Raw genomic sequence first — 22,496 nt, 5'->3', positions numbered from 1 at the left:
TCGTGAGAACAGCAAGGGGGAAATCCGCCCCCATGATCCAGTTACCTCCCACCAGGTCCCACCTCCAGGGGCAAATCCACCCCCATGATCCAGTCGCCTCCCACCAGGTCCCACCTCCAGCACTGGGGACTACAATTCAACATGAGATTCGGGTGGGGACACAAGTCCAAACCATATCAGGTATTGAATGTGTGGGTGGAAGACTTAAGGATAAACAAGTTCTGACTGACGGCCGTCGGGTTTAGTGCCATCCACAGTCCCAGACACCCACCGGGTCTGGAATGTGCCCCGTGAGGATGAGTGGGAGCTACTACATTTCATTTGTCCACAAGGAAACTGGAGCTGAAAGAAGCTGCAGAGTTCCCGAGTCCACACACCCCGCAGGCAGCGCGTTTACGTCAGAGCTCCCGAGTCCACGCACCTCGCAGGCAGCGCGTTTACCTCAGAGCTCCCGAGTCCACCGACCTCGCAGGCAGCGCGTTTACGTCAGAGCGCCCGAGTCCACGCACCTCGCAGGCAGCGCGTTTACCTCAGAGCTCCCGAGTCCACCGACCTCGCAGGCAGCGCGTTTACGTGAGAGCTCCCGAGTCCACGCACCTCGCAGGCAGCGCGTTTACGTGAGAGCTCCCGAGTCCACGCACCTCGCAGGCAGCGCGTTTACGTCAGAGCGCCCGAGTCCACGCATCTCGCAGGCAGCGCGTTTACCTCAGAGCTCCCGAGTCCACGCACCTCGCAGGCAGCGCGTTTACGTGAGAGCTCCCGAGTCCACGCACCTCGCAGGCAGCGCGTTTACATCAGAGCTCCCGAGTCCACGGACCTCGCAGGCAGCGCGTTTACGTCAGAGCTCCCGAGTCCACGCACCTCGCAGGCAGCGCGTTTACCTCAGAGCTCCCGAGTCCACCGACCTCGCAGGCAGCGCGTTTACGTCAGAGCGCCCGAGTCCACGCACCTCGCAGGCAGCGCGTTTACCTCAGAGCTCCCGAGTCCACCGACCTCGCAGGCAGCGCGTTTACGTGAGAGCTCCCGAGTCCACACACCTCGCAGGCAGCGCGTTTACATCAGAGCTCCCGAGTCCACGGACCTCGCAGGCAGCGCGTTTAGGTCAGAGCGCCCGAGTCCACGCACCTCGCAGGCAGCGCGTTTACGTCAGAGCGCCCGAGTCCACGGACCTCGCAGGCAGCGCGTTTATGTCAGAGCGCCCGAGTCCACGCACCTCGCAGGCAGCGCGTTTACCTCAGAGCTCCCGAGTCCACCGACCTCGCAGGCAGCGCGTTTACGTGAGAGCTCCCGAGTCCACACACCTCGCAGGCAGCGCGTTTACATCAGAGCTCCCGAGTCCACGCACCTCGCAGGCAGCGCGTTTACGTCAGAGCGCCCGAGTCCACGGACCTCGCAGGCAGCGCGTTTACGTCAGAGCTCCCGAGTCCACGCACCTCGCAGGCAGTACGTTTACCTCAGAGCTCCCGAGTCCACCGACCTCGCAGGCAGCGCGTTTACGTCAGAGCTCCCGAGTCCACGCACCTCGCAGGCAGTGTATTTACATGGAAATTGGATCGAGGCACTGACGTTTAAATCTTGGCTCCTGCTCCTGCCGTCTAGACAAAGGGCGCACCCATTGCCGTCTCAGACACCAGAGGCTCCCACTTGACCAGGTGAGATTTATCAGCTCCCAGACTGAAGGAGCATACGCTGCCAAAATTCTGACACATGTGAACGCTCTTCTTTTTATTTAGGAATAGAGTTGGACTCAAAATTAGTTTTTGCAACCTGATCAGTATTTGATTTGAGAGTAGCTGTGTGCATTGAGAATTATTCTCCACACTCGGGGGTGCTTCTCACAGCTGCTTTGGAAAGCAATTACTGGGGAGTACCTGATCTCTCAATTCCATTTCCTGCATGAAAATCAAATGGGGTGAGCTCTCTTCTTTCAAGTTAAAGTCAGTATCTAGGGAAATTGGTTTCACATAATTTTAAATTGTGGACACTCTGCACCACATGTTTAAGTTTAATGAAAACCTTAGGAAAGATGCATTTGACCTTCATTTTAACAGCAACTAGTGCTCATTGAAACAGGAAAAAAGATTCTGTGGAAAAAGGGGCAATACATGGATAAATAAAAAGTGCAGTTTTTGTGCTGAGTGGAGACAGTCTTCATAGATGCATGTGAATCCAGTTACAAGTGAGAGGTGCTCGCACAGTGACAGTGCCGTGTGTCACACGCTTTGAATCCCTGAGCTGGACGGCACGCCTACGTGCTGCGTCTTAGTGGCATAACTGTTGTCAGGGCTTCCCCGTGAAACAGGCCTGGGATGAGAGGTCCCTGCAGGTGGGGAGGGCGGGCCCCACAACATCTCCTGTCCATTTCACATTTTATTTCATGTTTCACTACTCAGGAAATAGACATTTTATTTCATGTTTCACTACTCATGAAATAGGGCCAATAAAATGCCAGAGGAATCCTGGTAAATGAACTTGAAGAACACACCGTCGAAGCCTCCACCAGAGACAGATTGTGGCACTTTGGGGTGTGTGACCTGCAGACACACCAGGCTCTTTCCTTAGTAAACACATTCCTTTCTTTATCTGCTCACTCCTCTTTCAAAAGCGCCTGTTAGGCACTAACCATTTTGCTGAGGGTTTGGGATCCAAGTGAAGATAATCACAAGTTCTCACCCTGCAGTGTCTGGGGCCTGTGGGTGAGAGAATGGGAGGATTGCCAGGCCTTCAGCTGCTGCCTGCTGGGAGCTCCCTCCCGGAGAGCTGTGTACGAAGGTCCCTAAGGTGGTCTTGGGAAGAGCGAGGAGTTGCCAGGGAAGGTTGTTCTGGAGGAAGAATGCTAACTGGAGAATCTTAAGTGGAGATCCTAGAGAGCAGAGAGGAAAGGGCTGGAGGCAGAGAGGAAGGTGGACAGGTGGGTGTCAGGGTATGGGGCCTGAGGGGACCTGTGCAGCCTCAGGTCCCCATTGTGGTGGAAACTCTGGGGAGAAGACGCAGCAGCCTCAGGTCCCCATTGCGGTGGGGACTCTGGGGAGAAGACGCATCTTCCCACCACCTAGCATCAGTCACCTCAGGTTTTAGTCAGAACACCTCAGGTTTTATCAGTTCTAATTTATTAGGCTATCTAGCAAGAACTTGCCAAAAATTAATGTGTGGCTAAAATCAAACAATCTAAAATGTAGACATCGTGGATGAAGGGGAGAAGCTCCGCTGAGGTTGTGCGTGCGGCCTCGGTCCCGGCTGGAGCGACGTTGATGATGTCAGTAGTGAGGCCGCCCCAGGGGACTGTGGAGGATGCAGGGAGGGGCTGGGTGAGTGTGACTTCCCTCTTCTTCCCACCAACCACAGGGAGAGACGGGGGAGGGGCAGAGGCCATGAGGTTCTCCCTCCTGGGATGGGAATAGCCTTGTTCACTGGCCCAGGAGAAAAATAGAGAGACTGCGGAGAGAGTGAGGAATGGGAAAGATGGGAACTTTGAGCTGAGATGCGTTTCCAGCTGGAAATCAACCGCAGGTAACCAGGAAATGGCTCAGGATTGCTGCAGCCTTTGTGATTTGCAGAGCAGGGCTGGACCTAAAGTAAACGCTGGCTCCTGCCAAGGGTTTAATTCATGACCCTGCTCCACAGTAGTGAAAATTCAGTGATTGTTAATGCCAGTAGGTCAAGAGAATAGGTGGACAGGTTGGAAGCAGGTCATTTCCAGCGTATGTGTGTTTAGGCCTCAAAGCATGTAGGTGTTTATCTAAACAGCAACTGCCCTCAGGGAGGCGAAGAGATCCCGGGGAGGGATGCTGTGTGCAGGAAGAGAATGCTGGCTCATCTTCAGGGGCATGAGCAATATGACATCTGCCAGATGTGATAATTACTCAAAATGTTACCCGTTTAAATCAGTTCTGATCAGTATGCTTACTAAAACGTGTTAGGTGAGTGTCTTCAAGTAGATGCATCCGTAAGATCTGGGATCCGCATTTCTTTCCAGCCGCGGCTCACCTGATGCTTGGAGTTCCGACGACTTCTCCTTTCTGCAGCCTCCCGGAGGCTCTGCCCTGCCCTCCTCCCATAAACAGCACACACCGCCTCAGACCCCTGCGATTGCTCCTAAATATTCTTCGAAGTGTGATAAGTATTTTAATTCCTAGGACATTAGAACCTTCTCTAAGAGAGCTTCCAGTTCCTGGACAGCTATGCCCAGTTACAAAAAGAAGTGCTTCATAGAGGAGGCTCTATGTGCATTTAAATGAAAATAGTGTCTCCTGAGAGGAGAAAAATCCAGGAGTGATACAGAGGTTGAAACCAGTGTCAGAAGACTGACTGGTTTTGATAAGCAATGGCCTGTCAGAAGAGTCTACCTGCAAATGTGTTTAGTTTGATTCTTATCATGACTAATTTATCCTAAAGCTTTCCCCCAGCATTTAAAAATTGTAGTATTTCATATAAAATTTATATTTATGGCTTCTCTCAAAACTGTAAGTTCATGACTAAATTGGATTTCTATTTTTGCTTTAGCAAAACCCAGCCAAGGAGGTGTTTTCCCGAGGCGTCGTGTGCTCTCCACTTTCTCACAGTGTATCAGGCTATTTCTGCTGTCATAACATCTGACCATGAACTTCAGTGGTTTGAACAACACAACTGTATTAGCTGGCAATTCCGGAGGGCAGGAGTCCGACACGGTCTCATGGGGTTAAATGAATCCAGGTGTGGGCAGGGCCACCTGGTGGCTTGGGGAGTGGCTCTTCCTGCTTCCCCCTGGGTCCGTGGCCAGCTACCTGCTGGACTCACAGCCCCTCCTCTCCTTGAAAGTCAGCCACATCCCCATCCCCATTGCTCCGATTGCAGCTGACCTCTGCCTTCAAGGGCTCGTGTGGTTGCATTGGGCCTGCTGGGACCCTCAGGGTCATCTCCCACCTCAGCGCCGTAATCTTTGCCACGCCTGCCTCTGGCCCTTGTCTGTGTCAGTGACAAAGCCACTAGTCTGGGAAATTAGGAAGTGGGCATTGGTGGGAGCCACACACAGGCACTGGACCGTCTCACGGTCACGCCACCTACCTGGCCCCCAGGCTTTGGAGCTGGCTGGTGTTGTCACACCTGCGTCCCTAGGCCTGGAGGCTGGGGCCCCTCGCTCCTTCACCTCAGACCCTTCCTGACTCTCACATCAGCCCACGAGGGCCGGGGCTGCACGGGGCTCCTGGGGTCCTGCACACTCTCTGGTACCTGCCTCACCCCTGAGGCATCTCTTCTCTCCCTACCCTACGCTGGCTTCTCTTCACTGGAAAAGAAACAACAGGCCTAGTTTCAAAAGGCAGCCATGAGTTTAACAAGTAAAATCAGCAAGTGACCTGAATGCTGGGGACAGTCTGGGATTCCACTTAAGGACCCAGAAGAACCCACCAGGGCTCTCGGGGTGAGGGTCGGCCTGAGCGTCTGGCCCTCAACTGGGAATGGCAGCCACTTCCACTCTCAGTCCCCACATGGCCTTGCCGATGGCCACACAGCTTCACAGCAGAGACAGGACACTGAGCTCAGACGGGAACTGAGGACGCCTGGGGCAGGGAGGGTGTGGCTGGACCCGCAGGCCTGGGCTGTGCACCAGGGAAGGATGGCTGGGGGCAGGGAGGGCGAGGCTAGACCCCCAGGCCCGGGCTGTGCACCAGGGAAGGATGGCTGGGGGCAGGGAGGGTGAGGCTGGACCTGCAGGCCTGGGTTTTGCACCAGGGAAGGATGGCTGGGGGCAGGGAGGGTGAGGCTGGACCCGCAGGCCTGGGCTTTGCACCAGGGAAGGATGGCTGTGGGCAGGGAGGGTGAGGCTAGACCCACAAGCCCCAGCTGTGTATCAGGGAAGGATGGCTGGGGGCAGGAAGGGTGAGGCTGGACCTGCAGGCCCCAGCTGTGTACCAGGGAAGGACGGCTGGGGGGCAGGGTGGGGGTGAGGCTGGACCCACAGGCCTGGGCTGCGCACCAGGGAAGGACGACTGGGGGCAGTGGGGGCTGGGGGGGGGGTGAGGTCTCCCATAGCCTAATCCACCTCTCCTCTGCTGCAGTGGTCTCACACAGCCTGATCCACCTCTCTTCTCCACTGCAGTGGTCTCACACAGCCTGATCCACCTCTCCACTGCAGTGGTCTCACACAGCCTGATCCACCTCTCTCCTCTGCTGCAGTGATCTCGCATAAGCCTGGTCCACTTAGTGGTCTCGTGTAGCCTAGTGCACTTGACTGGCTTGGTCCAATTTCTCTTGAACAATGGGAAATTTCCAAAGGGTTTTGTGATGATTAACCCTGACCTGAGTAGGAATGGCTCTTATCCACATTTGCAGTAAAGGGACCTGATGCTCCCAGAGGTTAAATGAAGGCAAAGCTCAGGTTCATGACCTGGTGACCAGCTCTGCAACTGCCCTGAAACAGGGCAGGTAGCCCAGGTGAAGTGCAGTCATTTCTAAGATGAGGGAGTGGGGTTTGAAAGTTTGAAAGATCCTGTTTGTTGGCAAACCATCTGGCATGCCTGGAGCAGGAGCACCCTGGCCACCCCGAGCTCCTTTCTTGAGGCCTTTGATGGAGTTGGAGCTCTGAGATGCAGGAGCTGTGTTGTGTGGAAAAGTCGGAAGGTGGAGTTCCCTTCTGCTGTTGAACAACTGGGTCCTGGTGTCCGTAGGAGAGGAGAAAGGAAGCAAAGGGACAAGTGGCAGGAAGGAAAGAGAAGGTGGAGGGAGGAAGGAAGGAATCGAGGGAGGGAGGGAGGTGGAGGGCTGGGGAGGTGTGGGCCTCTGCACCTGCACTGTGTTGAGTTATATTCAACAGGTGTTTACTGAGACCCTGTCTCCCCAGGCACTCATCACCACTGAAGCATCCTTGGCCACCAGTGGCTGTGGTGGGGTGGGGACGCCTTTGCAGGCTGGATGCTCGAGGCCGCTGTCCCCCTGGGAGTGGACGTTGGGGGAGACTCCTCAGAGGATGTTCCCTTTGGCTGAAGCTTTGAGGGATAGATGGGGTGCAGACGGCAGAGTTACCTTATTCCCAAAGGGTACTGGGGACTTTGTGACAAACTCTACAGCAGAAGAAACATGGGGAGAACATCCAAAGAGAGTGGCATCGCTCCATCCCTGTATCGCTCGGGTGTTGAAACACGGAGAAGGGCTCTTCCTGGAGGCTGGGATGCCAGGTCATTGCCCACCTGAGTCGCACGCCCTTTTTATAAAACCCCGTTCAGTGGATCAGTGGAGCACAGTGACCACACCGCACTGCCTGTGCAGGAGCCGGCCTGAAAATGGCATCCTGGAAGAAAGAACACAGGAGACGCTTTCACATGGGGAGTGTGACTGCAGAGAACGAGGGTGCCGGTCCTGCTATCGGCATCAGGGGAGGCAGGTGCGGGCTGCAGCGCACTTCCTCCCACCATCAGCAACGCGAATGGTTTGATTTCTTTCCGTCTACACGTCTGTGGCTCTCAGCATCCTTGGGGATTTCAGAACGCATCCAGGGTTTCACACTTGGAGGAAAGCCCAGCATTTTCTCGTGGGTTTCCGTGCACCCGCTGTCTCGGCTGATGTCCTGGCCCTCATCAGTTATGTCAGCGTGTGGGTGAGACACACAGCTGCCTGCATGCCTGGCTTGGAGAGCATTTAAGTGTCTCAAACTCCCATTCAGTGCTTGGGATGTTGGAGGAGAGGAAACCTGAGAATCCAGGGAGCTGGCCCCTCAGTAACAGTGGGAAGAACACGCCCGGGGGTGGGAGAAGGGAGGTTCAGCAGCCGCCACTGCGAGGAGTGGAAGCCGAGAAGGGGGAGGCGTGGGGGGTGTGAAGGGGCTGATGTCTCGGAGAACTCTGGGAGGGGCTTGAGCACTCGAGTGGCACAATTCAAACCACACTTAACGTTCACTCACCTGGGTTCCTGCGCGCGTGTGTGTAGGAAACAGAGACCCTCAGGGAGGCTCCACCTGGTCCAGGTAGCTGTGAGGAGGGTGCCCTGGGCTGGTGGAGCCATGAGGCGGGCTGGATCGGGGGATTGTCTGAATGAAGCAGTCAATGGCACCTGCAGGTGGGGTGTGCAGGGAAAGTCGTATTTTTTTTTTTTTTTTTTTTTTTGCACCTGAGCGATTGGTCCCATGCTGGTGCCATTTGGAGACGCTTTTCCCAGGAAGGAGTGAGGTTTGTTGAGTTACAGGTGACAATCCAGGCTCCTCCAGCGTTCTGAGCGTGGCATAAAGATGCCGGTTTCTTTTACATGTGCATGTTAATTTCTATCGTTCAGGTTCTTCGTTGCTTCTCTCTCAAGAGAGCGCAGGAATGCACAGACATTCCTGTAAATGTTTGGACATGTGAGTGTACCAAGCTAGCGCAAATCTTTAAACAACTAATTTTGAGGGAAAATTTGAACAAAAACCTCACCAATCTGAAATTCAATGGGGGAAGTATTGAAAACTCTCTAATTGCATCTGAAATTTTGCCATATAAGTGATTGTTATGTGACCTGAGTAACAAAAAGGGAAATGGAAAACCATGTTTTCATTTCTGCCCTGAGGAATAAGGTGGGGGGCTGAGGAATAAGGTGGGGGCTGAGGAATAAGGTGGGGGCTGAGGAATAAGGTGGGGGCTGAGGAATAAGGTGGGGGCTGAGGAATAAGGTGGGGGCTGAGGAATAAGGGGGGGGCTGAGGAATAAGGGGGGGGCTGAGGAATAAGGTGGGGGCTGAGGAATAAGGTGGGGGCTGAGGAATGGGGGGGCTGAGGAATAAGGTGGGGGCTGAGGAATGGGGGGGCTGAGGAATAAGGTGGGGGGCTGAGGAATAAGGTGGGGGCTGAGGAATAAGGTGGGGGCTGAGGAATAAGGTGGGGGCTGAGGAATAAGGTGGGGGCTGAGGAATAAGGTGGGGGGCTGAGGAATAAGGTGGGGGCTCCAGTAACTGATGATGGGACTCTCAGAACCCCCACGTGCCCCCTTTTAGGGAAATGTTGTTTCTAATGGAATCTCAGGACTGTTGAAGTTTCTTGGGTCTCCTGTAACAGGTAAGGAAACAAGTCCCTAAGGGATGAGCACTCCGCAGGTGCTTGGGGATGCTTGGCGACGCCTGGTGGCACTGTGCGTCAGATGTGGTCAGTGGTCCCAGACACATCAATGAACAATCGTGCTCCTGCCCCAGAGCCGGGGGCTGGTGTGGAGGGGGCAGGTGAGCAGGGGACCTTGAGGGCCAGAGGAACGGTCCAGTGCCATGGAGGGGAGAGGGTGGAGGGTGTGGGTGGGGGTCCAGGGGAGAGGGTGGGTGCAGGCTGCAAAGGTGCAGTGCTGTGAAGGAGAGGCTTCTGGCAGAGACAGGCGCTGGGGAAGGCCGGCATTAGGGTGCAGTGTGGAGACAGCTCCTCCGGGAGGGAGGACGCCTTTCTAAAGGGGCAGCTCCTGGAACTTCACTTTGTACAAATGTTCAGTCAGTTCTGATGTCGAGGTTTTGGACTGCGAGACCTTCCAATGTTTCTCAACATTTAGATCCCTATTTTTTTTTCTTTGTAACAAGATTCTCATCTTATAAATTTTTCCCATTGATTTTGAAAACCCTCAACTATTTAGCTATTCCTGTTAGAATTGATATCAGGATTCCGTTACTCAGAGCTTCATTCCTGCAGCATTTTGAAAGAACATTCATGACAAAAAGCAATGGGTCAATACCTTTTTATTGTTTTGGGGAAAAGTGTTTCTTCATGAAGGTCCATGGCTCTCTCAGGATCCCTTAAAGGTGGCGTTTTGGGCGATTTTTCCTCTTGTTGGCACATTTCTAAGCCAGAGCAGCTGGAGGCAGCACAGTCCGTCCGGCTCCCGGTGAGGGAATAAACAGCCTGACTCAGGTGTAGGCCACAGGGGCAGTGAAATCACAGCCAGTGTAGACGGTGCGCTTAAAGATGTTATGTTGACTGTGCCTGTGCTGTGAGCGTTGGATTTTTAAATCCAGATAAAATTGAGTTTTTTTTTCTCTCCCAAATGTATGGGAATTCGATCCAACTCACAGTGGCAGTGGAAGGATCTCTTTTCAAATGCTTCTGTCTGTTTCACGGGAAGATATTTAAGTGGGAGATGACAGGCTCGTGGGCGCTTTGAGAGCTACACACTCTCCCATTTGGTGTTGTTGAGATAATCCTTTGATAGTGGAGAAATATGCAAACATCTTCCTTTCTGTTTGGCAGACTTTGATAAGTCTAAAAACTGCACATGTATTTATTATTTTTAGGAGAAAAATATGCACCAACCACTTTAAAAATTAATACTTTATTCAGTGTATTTGCCTTTGTGCTAACATTGAGTTTAATATAAATACACATATATGCAAAGAAGATAAAGGATTAATTTTAGCTTTTGGTAAATATATTCAGCATTAATGTCATCCCTTTTTTTTTGTCTGGTTGAGAAAACTGTATTGCTAAAGGGTAAACCACACCATACCTGCCAAGCTGCTGGTTTTTCTGTTCCACGCTTTCCACCATTGGTTCTAAATAAGTCAATTTCCAGAAGGAATTAGCCAGTAATACTAATAGAGGGGACCAGAAATTACACTTCTGTGTATAAAATACCTGTTTTAAGAATGACAGAGCACTTTGGCTTGAGTTTTAACGATTTAGTGGCAGCTGTTACTTAGCTGTACTGTTCCTATGTTTGAAGCGATAAACGCAGATATCACAGTGCGGAGCCTGCGGTGAGGCACATTTTAGGAAACAAATTCTCAGCCTTCATCTAAAAGCCAGAGTCCTGCAGGGTGAATCATGTCCCCAAATCCATAGGCTGAAGTCTTAATCCCTAGTGTCTCAGAATGGGGCTCCAGTTAGGGACGGGGCCTAGAAAGAGGGGATTAAGGTAATAGGAAGTTATGAGGGTGGGCCCCAATCCCACAGGATGGTGTCCTTATGAGACGAGGAGATCAGGACACAGACACACACAGAGGAAGGACCCTGTGAGGCCCCGGGGGATGTCGGTGTCTATAAGCCGAGGAGGGAGACCTCAGGATGTGAGGCCCTGGGGGATGTCGGTGTCTACAGGCTGAGGACGGAGGCCTCAGGAGGAAGCAGCCCTGCCTGCACCTGGATCTGGGACTTCCAGCCCTGGGATGTGAGAGGATGAATTTCTGGGGTGCTTTGTCATGGCAGCCTTCACACACACACACACACAGACACACACACAGAGCTGCAAATCACAAGCTGCATATCTTGGCAAAATTTTCCCTTAAGAAAGGACAACCACACCTCAAACCCCTCAACAGCAGGGAGCACAATTTGTTATTTTTGTTGTCTCCACCCCTCTTTACTGTATCCTCACACTCAAAGCATTAAACATTGGATTTCTGGAAGGAGATGAGGAAAGTGTAACCTCAGGGGGAGACCCAGAGTCTTCTGATAACAGTGCCATAAATGACATAGGGCGTACATTTAAAATTGAATTTTCAACCTGAAGCTTGAATACGTGGTCTCAATGCCAGCAGCAAAATGAAATGTCACTTCTGGGGCCTGGTTTGCCTCCCTAAACGTCAGCTGCAAGGGAGTGTTTTACTTCACGCATTAGAGTGTTCCGGTTTACAGGGGGCCGTTGTTTTATACTGAGTTCCTGTCACTAGGCCCCACCTGGGCAGACTAGGCAGATTGAAGTCACCTGTGCCAGGTGCCAGGTCACCAAACTGAGCTTAAAAACAGGTCAACTTTCCAAAAACAGGAGATTCACAGCCACCCATCAGGAGGGGCCCAGCCACCTCGAGCTGGCAGGATGAGAACATCCCTGGGCTTTAGCCCGCAAGAGGAAAGGAACATTGTATTAGTCTGTCCTGGGCTAATAAAGCAGCCTCAAGTCTGAGTAATTTATAAAGGAAAAAGGTTTAATGGACTCACAGTTCTGCATGGCTGGGGAGGCCTCACAATCATGGTGGAAGAGGAAGGAAGAGCAAAGCCATGTCTTATGTGGCGGCAGGCAAGAGAGTGTGTGCAGGGGAACTACCCTTTATAAAACCATCAGATCTCGTGAGACTTATCCGCTACGATGAGTACAGTGTGAGGGAATCCTGCCTTCATGATTCCATCACCTCCTACCAGGTCCCTCTCACAATATGTGGGGATTTTTACAATTTGAGGTGAGATTTGGGTGGGACACAGCTAAACCATGTCAAACATGAATGCTACTGATGTTATCTGCTGTGGTCTGAATGTGCCCCCCACATCCTTGTGTTGAAACTTAAGCACCAACGTGATGGCATTAAGGGGGCTCTTCACAGGGGATCAAGTCCTGCCAGTGGGTGAAGCCCTTGTGAGTGTGATTAGTGATTTCATAGGAGAGGCTGAAGCCAGCGGCCCTGGCCATTCCTGTCTTCCTCCATGTGAGACACAGCTCCAGGCGCCCTCCTGAAAACAGAGCCCAGGCCCTCCTCAGACACTGACCCTGCAGGTGCCTCGATCTTGGGCTTCACAGCCTCAGTACTAGGAGAGATCAATCTCTGTCGTTGGCGACTGTCCATCCTTGGCATTTGTTACAGCAGCACAAATGGATGAACCCGATTTCCTGCCAGCTTGCAGCAGGTCACCTCCTCCTTCCCGCCCAAGCTGCCTGCAGAAACAGACCATGGGCATTGCCTGGGGAAGCCCTATCTGTGCTGTGGATGGCACACTGTGGGTGGTACGCTTGGATGGTACACTTGGATAGTATGCTGTGGGTGGTATGCTGTGGATGGTATACTGTGGATGGTATGCTTGGATGGTATGCTGTGGGTGATATGCTGTGGATGGTATGCTTGGATGGTATGCTGTGGGTGATATGCTGTGGATGATATGCTTGGATAGTAAGCTGTGGGTGGTATGGGTGGTACGCTGTGAATGGTATACTTGGATGGTTCGTTGCCAGTCCATGCATCATGAATAGCAGCCAATTCGATCTTTAAAACTCAGTTTTTTGAAATGTTCTTGGACAAGAGTCCTTAACTCTCCTCAGGCTGGGGGGAGGTCCTGCTGCTCCTCTGAGGCCCAAGGACGAGGTGGTGGTGAGGGCTGAGTCCACACGGCCGTGCCGTGTGCAGTGTGTGCTACGTGTGAGCCTCTGCAGAGAGAAACACAAGCACACTGAACTTAGACTTGCCTGAGCATTCCTTCTTTTCCTTGACCTGTTAGCTTTTGCAGGAGAGAAAAATTTTAATTCAATAAATCTAGTAAATTGTAGCCCAAGGATAGGATAGAAGAGCAAAGGTCACAGAAAATCAGTGCCAGAGAGAAGAGAAGAGCCTGGGGCCCCAGGGTGAGGGGCACAGGGCTGGGCAGGGAGGAGAGCAGGAAGTTCCTGGGGGAGGAGAAATGCAGCCTTATCTGGATGCAATTCCACAGTGATTTTAAAAGTTGTATATTAGAATGCTAAAAAGCTAAGCACTATTATAAAATGTATATATTTGACTTAGAAAAAAAGCAACAGCTTTATTGCTGTGACATGCTATTAATTTAAATTGCTTAAATGCACTTCTCATGTATTAGTTATAAAGCTAGACTAAATTGCAATCTTTAATTTTTTGCTGATGTTTTTATTGCTTGGTGATGTATGGAAAATTACGTACCTTCAAGAGTTTTAATTCGTCTTTTTTCTTTTGTCAGCCTCTGGAGACAGGAAGCAAAAAGTAGCAATAAAATGAGATTCTGTCAGTATGTTATAATGATAAACCCAAAGCTTACCACTAGCTCATTTACAATTTTGTAGCAAGCTTACAAAAAAAGAATTAAAAATTTTACATCAATTTGTAATAGACTGTATATTCATTGATATTTCTGAAGTGTTTTATCTATCCTATAGCACCTTCAAGAGTACACTTTTTAAAACAAGTTTAGAATAGTTTTAGATTTACTGAAAAGTTGCACAGATTGGAAAGCGTGTTTCCGTGTCCCACACCCACATTCTCCTGTTAACACCTGACGTTAGTGTAGTGCTTGTGTGACACAGCTGATGACCCAGTTTGGAGCCAAGTTGTACAGACGTGGGGATAACCAGGGACACTGATCCTGGGAGTGGCATCTGAAGAGGGGCAACCTTGTGGGGCTGAGTCTTTAGCCCAGGGGCCTGGGCTAACCCCAGGTAGAAAGCATCAGACTTGAGTTAAGTTGTAGGACACCCAGCTGGTATTTAGGGAGATGGAGAGTGGTTGGTGTGGAAACCCCTCAGCCCCCACCCTGACCTAGTGTCCCACGTGAAGTTTTGAGAGGGGCCGGACAGTCAGGGAGGACCGTTTTCCTCCTTCTGTGACCAAAGGACCAAAGGAAGACACTGTATCACACGAAATAGTTAACCATGCTTCCATTCATTGATCTAATGAAGAAAGTATATTTTGTGAGATTGCAAAACAAAACCCAAGTGTGTGTTCCACACAGGAAATCCTCAGGAAATGAGACCCAGGAAGTGAACGCAAAAGGCGGAGCCACACGATACCAGGCAGACAAGAAGGCAGGTTGGTGACTCAGCATCGGGTCTCCAGGCACAAAGAAGGAGGAATGATGATAGAACACTGCCAGGGATCAATTACAAAATAAATAATCAATATTCATAGACAAGGAATGCGGCGTGGTGAGGTATGAAGACGGTTCCTTTGTTCCTTGTCCGGCCTTTACCATTCCTTCCTTCTGCTAAGTGGGGGCTTAGTGTGTTCTGGCTTCCCCGGGTTTCGTGAGGTGTAACGTGAGGCTGTTTATTTGGCGTCTTTCTTCTTTTTTGATGTAGGTGTTTATTGCCAAAAACTTCCTTCTTAGAACTGCTTTGCTGTGTCCCATAGATTTTAATATGTTGTGTTTCCATTTTCATTTGTCTCAAGATGTATTTAAATGTCCTCTATAATGTTTTCATGGACCCACTGGTGATTCAGAAGTAAGGTGTTTAATTTCCCCGCCTTTGCGGATCTTCTGAAATCCCTTCCGTTATTGATTCTAGCTTCGTACCACTGTGGCTGGGAATGGTATTTGATGTAATTCTGGTCTCTTTAAATCAGGCAGGACTTGTTTTGTGCCTCAGTGTACAGTCTATCCTGGAGAATGCTCTGGGACACTAGAGAAGAGCATGTTTCTGGCTGCTGCTGGATGGGATGGTCTCAATGGGCCAGTGAGCCCAGGTGCCTGACACGTAGTTTAAGGCCAATCCTTCTTCACTGATTTTCCACCTGGATGGTCTGCCCCCTGCTGGCGGTGGGCCCCTGAGGCCTCTCAATATTGTTACTTAATTGACTTGCTGCCTGCTTCTCCCTTCAGATTTAGTAACATTTGCTTATATACTTAGATGCTCTGACGCTGGTAAAGATGTATTTACAATTGTTACATGCTCTTGATGAAGCCACCCATTCAACCTCACATCATGACTCTCTTGATCTCTTTTTACAGGTTTGACTTAACGTCCATTTAATCTGACAGGAGTGTGGCCACCGTTGCTCCCATTTGCTTTCTGTTTCTAGGGAATGTATTTTTTCATCCTTTCTCTTCCAGCCTATGTGTGTCCTAATGGGCATAGTGAGGGAGAGGGAGAGAGGGAGAGAGAGAGAGAGGTGAGAGAGAGAGAGAGAACCCTATCCCTTTTTTTTTTAATCAGAAACCCACTCCTGCGATGAAGGATGAATCTTCCTGAGGGCAGAGCTCTTACCGCCCACTCGCCCCTCTAAGTTCCCACCTCCCAAGGCCGTGTCTCTGGGGATGAAGTTTCCAACACACAAACATTGGGGGCACCTTCAAGCCACGGTGTCCTGTAAACCAGCGTTCCAGCATTTGCCAAATGGTGTTTCTTTTACCAGGAGATAAGGACTCTGATCAGGTCCTTTGGAAAGAGCAAGTGAGTCTTTGATTCTCTCCTGGATATTCATCATATGTGTTAGGAACTTAAAGAATCCCTGTAATCCCAGAGTTTAACAAAGACACACATGTGTTTTCAGCAACACCGAGTCTTACACGAGTATCTCCGAGATGAATGTGATTGTGCCTGTCTGTGAAGCTCGTGGCAACCACCTTCCCCAGGGAAACGCTTCTGTGGCCTGCAGGAGCCCTTAGGTCTGGCCGTGGTGTGAGCACAGGGTTTGTTCTGGGAGATCCATCCAGCAGCAGTTTGTGTGGGATGGATTAGAAGAGCAGGAATCAGGGGTGGACGACCGGCTGGCCGGGCATGGCTCCAGCTCCGGGGAGTGACGGCCAGAGGCTGAGGCGGGTGGGCCACCCCCACCATGGGGAAGCAGGCAGACCAAGGAAGGAACTCAGATGCTGACAGGAGAGAGAGAAGAGAAGGGTGAAGGTGGTGGGAGGGAGGTCCTACAGGACTGGTCTGTCCCTTGCTCTTTCCAAAGACGATGTTGGGATTCCCCCTCCACTGCACATTCCCTTTCGGTACGTAGGAAGGTGCCTCACGGGCATCCATGTCTCACGGTGTTGGAGAGCTTCAAGACTTTTTGAAAAGCCTCTGCCCAAACTCTCGGTTCAGCAGCTACCAGGTATTTACCTTGGAGAGGTAAGTGAAGCTCTCCCTGGCTTGGTTTTCTCATCTGTGAAACAAAACTGCTCTTTCCTGAGAGGACTGAATAAAATCGTGTGCTCAGTTGTGATGCTGGCTTCGTGAGAGGTAGCCTGTCAGGCAGTGCCAGTTCTGTTTGAGAAGAGCCTCTGGTGTCCTTTGTAAAATAGATAAAATTCTAAGTCCTTCAACCGACTGAATGGGCCCCCTCTTTGCCACGGGGATCCCCCCCTAAAAATTCAAAAAACCGGTTCAGCCCATGATGGCAGGAAGTGGGGTTGGACAGACCACATTATACCCTCCTCCCTGTGGAGTTCAGGACCAGCTGACCAGCATTAGCGCTAAAGCAGACATCAAAACACTATCCAAACAGACTCCTTATAGTAATCAGATTCCCCACTCCAACCTGGCCCTGGCATAGCATCACATGAAAAATAGCAGGTCCTGAAGGAAATCAAAATATATTAACCCCAACTATATCTCCCTTACATATTCTGAAATGGCCCTGCAAAGGCGTCTTTTGCTGGGAATATCTGCATTCTGTGGAGAATCCCTTACTAGGCCCTTTTCTGATCCAGGAGAGATTTAACTAAGGCCTGACATCTTTTAAGGTCCTATAGGAAGCATTTGCCATCGATTCTCTCTGAAGCTGCTGCCTGAAGGCTTCATCTCCATACTGTGAATCTTGGTTTCCACAAGGCCCTTATCTTTCTGCTGGAGCATTTCTTTCTGCTGACTTCACTCTTTAGGCAAAGCTGAAGTCTGTCAACCAATCGTCACTCCAAAAATCTTTGAATCCACCTGTGATCTGTGAGCCCTTGCTTTGAGATGTCCACCTTTCTGGGCTGAACCAGTGTAAACCTGTAACTTCTGCCTCCCTAAAATGTATACGACCAAGCTGTAGCCCGAACACCTTGAGCACAGGATCTGAGGACACCTCAGTGCTGCATTACGGGTCATGGCCACTCATATTTGGCTAAGAACCTCTGTGACAATTTTATTGTTCGGCTTTTATCATCAACACCTTCCAGGCAGAAGCCACTGTGGTCCCCATGGCCACCCTCACCTGGGCCTCCCGCCACCATGAACTTTCTTAGTTGAGCTGAATTAACAATGAGCAAGGAATAGATTAGTCACTGGTACAATAGATTGTTTTCACCCCTTACCAAAATGTGTTAGCTGAATGTCTAACACATTAGCCACCGGCCTCTGCCCAGGGCCCCAGGCTGGCAGCTGGGCTGGATGTTTTTGACCTCTTATCTGGAGGTGCAGGTGCACCTCCAGCAGCAGGGTGCGTCGCACACGGGCCTGACACCAAGCCTGCCACATCCACGGTGCCATCGACCCATGAACTGGGCAGGCTGCTCCTACACACACACACGCACACACATGTACACACATGCACACACAGGCACACATGCACACACAGGTGTACACATGCACTCACACGCACACATGCACATGTACACTCCTCCCAACCAAACCCCCTTGCCCCTACACACACACACTCACACACACACACATGCACATACATATTATTAGTATTTTAATATATGACTCAACTGTGTAATAAACCATGATGCTTAGGAGCCAAAAAGTAATTGATGTGTCTTTCCCAGAGAAGTCACGTTGGAAAAGTGATCAGGAGAGAGGCATCTGAGCTGTGCATTGACAGACCTTTGGGGATGTCAGACAGACATTTAGGAGGCTCTTCCAGGCAAAGGAGAGATACAGGAGCACATTAAAGATGTCCCTTCTGTTGTCAATGGGGAAGAACGTAGAGTCCTCATTGGTAGGAAGTGGTGAATGACGGTGCCTACGTTCAGAAACTGTGCATGAGGGCAGAGTCTGGGTGGAATGAGGCTGGAGAGGCTGGACGCTGCCCAGCATGAGGCCAGACCCGTTTGAGACACACCCTGCTACTGGAGGTGCACCTGCACCTCCAGACAAGAGGTCACAATTGGGCCTCTTGGACCAATGTTCTCAAATATGGTAGATCCGCCTAGCCACAGTGGCCCAGTGTGCATCCTCCTCCAGGCAGCACAACTCAGGGGCACTTGCTGCCTGGCAGGCAGGGGGCTTCACATCTGACCCTTCACCCCTCACACTGGCCCCCACCCCTTACTGAGGTTCCCTGTGTGGACATGAGCTCCCAGGGCTGTGTCCATTTCTCTCCTCCATCTCTCTCAACCATGAACCTGTGTTATCATCTATGTTAGGGGCCAAATTCACCTTCTTCCCCCATTCGTAGGTTAAAGTCATAGCCTTCAGCATTTCAGAAGTGACTGTCTTGGAGACAGGGAATTTAAGGAGGTAATCGAGTTGAAATGAGGTCACAGACTAGACCCTGATCCAATATGACTGGTGTCCTTATAAGAAGAGGAGATGAGGGCACAGTTGCACCTAGAGGGATGATCACCTGAGGACACAGAGAGAAGACAGCAGCTGCAAGCCAAGGAGAGAGGCCTCAGGAGGAACCAGCCCTGCCCAAACCTTGATCTTCGGCTTCTGGCCTCCAGAACTGGGAGAGGATAAATCCATGTCATATAAGTCACCTTGTCTGTGGGTTTCTGTTATGGAAGCCTGAGCCAACTATTACAAGGAATATTTGTTGAGTCAGCCAATGACTCTTCACAGCAGTCAGAATCTGGACAGAAAGCAGCCCTCACAAGCCCAAGCGAGCTGCACTAAAATGTCCTAGCTGCTCATAGTGTGTTCAGTAAAGTCAGAGGGCTCTCAGAGATCCTGTGCTATCTAACAGGCACCCCATTTATTTCCTGGAGACGCCTCTCAGCCATCCAGCAGCTTCTGCGGCCATAGCCTGTGGATACTTCTCCACACTGACAACGCCCATTCTGTTCAGGAAGGTTTGTCCACCTTGGCTGGAATTAGGTGACCCATGGAAACATCCCACTGCCCATGTTTCTGTGCACCTGCGGACACTCGTGGGAAATGCCCCATAGCCTGTGTTTTTATTCCCCTTGTGAACACTCGTGGGAAATGCCCCATAGCCTGTGTTTTTATTCCCCTTGTGAACACTCGTGGGAAATGTCTCATGGCCCGTGTTTCTGTGCACCTGTGAACACTCGTGGGAAACACCCAACGGCCCGTGTCTCTGTGCACCTGTGAACACTCAAGGGAAATGTCCCATGACCTGTGTTTCTGTGCACCTGCGGACACTCGTGGGAAATGTCCCACAGCCTGTGTTTTTATTCCCCTTGTGAACACTCGTGGGAAATGTCCCATGGCCCGTGTTTCTGTGCACCTGTGAACACTCGTGGGAAATGTCCCATGACCTGTGTTTCTGTGCACCTGCAGACACTCGTGGGAAATGTCCCACAGCCTGTGTTTTTATTCCACTTGTGAACACTCGTGGGAAATGTCCCACGGCCCGTGTTTCTGTGCACCTGTGAACACTCGTGGGAAATGACCCATGACCTGTGTTTCTGTGCACCTGCAGACACTCGTGGGAAATGTCCCACAGCCTGTGTTTTTATTCCCCTTGTGAACACTCGTGGGAAATGTCCCACAGCCCGTGTTTCTGTGCACCTGTGAACACTCGTGGGAAATGACCCATGACCTGTGTTTCTGTGCACCTGCAGACACTCGTGGGAAATGTCCCACAGCCTGTGTTTTTATTCCACTTGTGAACACTCGTGGGAAATGTCCCACGGCCCGTGTTTCTGTGCACCTGTGAACACTCGTGGGAAATGACCCATGACCTGTGTTTCTGTGCACCTGCAGACACTCGTGGGAAATGTCCCACAGCCTGTGTTTTTATTCCCCTTGTGAACACTCGTGGGAAATGTCCCACAGCCCGTGTTTCTGTGCATCTGTGAACACTCGTGGGAAACACCCAACGGCCCGTGTTTCTGTGCACCTGTGAACACTCAAGGGAAATGTCCCATGACCTGTGTTTCTGTGCACCTGCGGACACTCGTGGGAAATGCCCCACAACCTGTGTTTTTATTCCCCTTGTGAACACTCGTGGGAAATGCCCCACAGCCTGTGTTTTTATTCCCCTTGTGAACACTCGTGGGAAATGCCCCACAGCCTGTGTTTTTATTCCCCTTGTGAACACTCGTGGGAAATGTCCCGTGGCCCGTGTTTCCGTGCACCTGCGGATACTCATCAAACACCAGGCTGTCATTGTGGACAGGGTGAGCTCTGGCTGTTGGTGCAGCATGGTAGGAAGAGCACCAGGTCCTGGACTCTGGTGATTTATATTAGACCCTAATTCTGAGCTGTGGTCTTGGCTAAGCCTTGGACGCTGTGTTATCTAACGTGTGGGGAGGGGGCTTACCTCAGAATGTGGAGAATTACTTAATCCATGTGAACTTCCCGGTGCTGGAAACACAGAATAGACCCTAAATGACCACTGTTTTATTTATTATTGTCTCAGAATTGTTTAGAGCTAAATAATGATTCAGTATGTGATTTTCTAGAAAACTCACGGAAGGAGATAAGACTTGCTTTTCATGAAAATTGGTACTTGAACTAACAAACAACGGCCACCTACCACTGAGGCTGTGGCCTTGGGACACGCTGCTGTGTCCTTCAACACCGTCGGGCAAAAGCCGTTGGGGTGAGATGGAAGCAGAAGCACAGTGCACAGAGGCCAGCCTGGGCTCACAAAACTGCTCAGAGCTTCACAGAGGCCATCATGGGCTCACACAACCTCTCAGAGATTCACAGAGGTGAATGTGGGCTCACAAAACTGCTCAGAGCTTCACAGAGGCCATCATGGGCTCACACAACCTCTCAGAGATTCACAGACGTGAATGTGGGCTCACAAAACTGCTCAGAGCTTCACAGAGGCCAACATGGGCCACAAAACCTCTCAGAGATTCACAGAGGCAAATGTGGGCTCACAAAACCGCTGAGATTCACAGAGGCCAACATGAGCTCACAAAACCGCTCAGAGCTTCAGTGGAGTCAGATTTTGGTCAGGCTGAGGGCCCGATTCTTAGCTAATTATTTCCAGTAATGTCTACTTTTAAGCAATTATACTTCTAATGTCTGTTTAATAAAAAACAGATGAGGTAGACTATTACCAAATGGTGCCATAAGACAGAAATATAATAACTGTGTAAAAAAGAGCACTACTTTAATATAACCTTAAGCAAAATAACACTTTTTATTAATACTAAAGCTTTTAGATGTAATTAAATAAAATATGACATGCAACAAATTAATGTAATTCAAATGTGATTACTTTGTTCCAATAAAAAAACTTCAATTATTTTACACTTAGCTGGTTTTTCTAAAAACATGCTATTTTTGAGAGTTTTAAAACAAATACACTCACTCACTGAAAAGGGACGTTTTGGTCAATGACAGACCCCGTATGCAGTGGTGGTCCCGTGAGATAATCATGGAGCTGAAATTCCCCAGTGCCTGGTGACACAGCAGTCCTAACGCCAGAGTGCCACGCATTGCTCACTGTTTGTGGTGATGCTGTGTAAACAAGGCTGCGATGCGGTAACTGTAACGTCCAGCACATACAACCATGCACCGTACACAATGCTAGATAATGATAATAAATGACTATGTTGCTGGTTTATGTATTTACGATACTTTTTATCCTTATTTTAGAGTGTACTCCTTCCACTTATGTTTTAAAAGGTTAACTGTAAAACAGCCTCTGGCAGGTTCTTCAGGAGGTGTTCCGGAAGAAGGCATGTAGATAGACAAATGCTCACCATTGTGTTACAGTCACGTGCAGCGTTCAGTGCAATCCCAGGCTGCACAGGTGTGTAGCTCCAGAGCAACAGCCTGGGCCCCAGAGCCTCAGTGTGCAATAGGCCATGCCCTGGAGCCTCAGTGTGCAGTAGGCTGTGCCCCAGAGCCTCGGCGTGCAGTAGGCTGAGCCCCAGAGCCTCTGTGTGCAGTAGGCTGAGCCCTAGAGCCTCAGTGTGCAGTAGACTGAGCCCTAGAGCCTCGATGTGCAGTAGGCTGAGCCCTAGAGCCTCGATGTGCATGCAGTAGGCTGAGCCCTAGAGCCTCAGTGTGCAGTAGGCTGAGCCCCAGGGCTGC

The 22,496-nt window shown here is 50.6% G+C and overlaps 1 long non-coding RNA gene across 2 annotated transcripts in view, besides 2 other annotated features; it reads left to right on the top strand.

Annotated features, from left to right (window-relative positions):
- Positions 328 to 1,527: an enhancer, noted in NCBI's record as "CDK7 strongly-dependent group 2 enhancer chr2:863929-865128 (GRCh37/hg19 assembly coordinates)". NCBI's record gives its function as "activates an origin of replication core promoter dependent on BRD2, BRD4, P300/CBP, MED14 and CDK7 cofactors, with strong dependence on CDK7, by STARR-seq in HCT116 cells {active_cell/tissue: HCT116}" and the evidence as "EXISTENCE:reporter gene assay evidence [ECO:0000049][PMID:35650434]".
- The window catches only part of LINC01115 (long intergenic non-protein coding RNA 1115), an 88,587-nt gene continuing 67,434 nt past the window's right edge, over positions 1,344 to 22,496 (top strand). Inside the window, exons 1-2 of one of the 2 annotated variants that reach the window (NR_033880.3) lie at positions 1,344 to 1,652; positions 15,555 to 15,791. This is a non-coding gene — a long non-coding RNA (long intergenic non-protein coding RNA 1115). The remainder of the gene's footprint in view (positions 1,653 to 15,554; positions 15,792 to 22,496) is intronic. The other variant, NR_111963.1, reaches the window with a different exon arrangement.
- Positions 14,178 to 15,375: an enhancer, noted in NCBI's record as "BRD4-independent group 4 enhancer chr2:850078-851277 (GRCh37/hg19 assembly coordinates)". NCBI's record gives its function as "activates an origin of replication core promoter dependent on BRD2, P300/CBP, MED14 and CDK7 cofactors, and independent of BRD4, by STARR-seq in HCT116 cells {active_cell/tissue: HCT116}" and the evidence as "EXISTENCE:reporter gene assay evidence [ECO:0000049][PMID:35650434]".

Source organism: Homo sapiens, chromosome 2, assembly GCF_000001405.40.
Source record: "Homo sapiens chromosome 2, GRCh38.p14 Primary Assembly".
NCBI lineage: Eukaryota > Metazoa > Chordata > Mammalia > Primates > Hominidae > Homo > Homo sapiens.
This window is presented reverse-complemented; position numbering and strand designations above follow the sequence as displayed.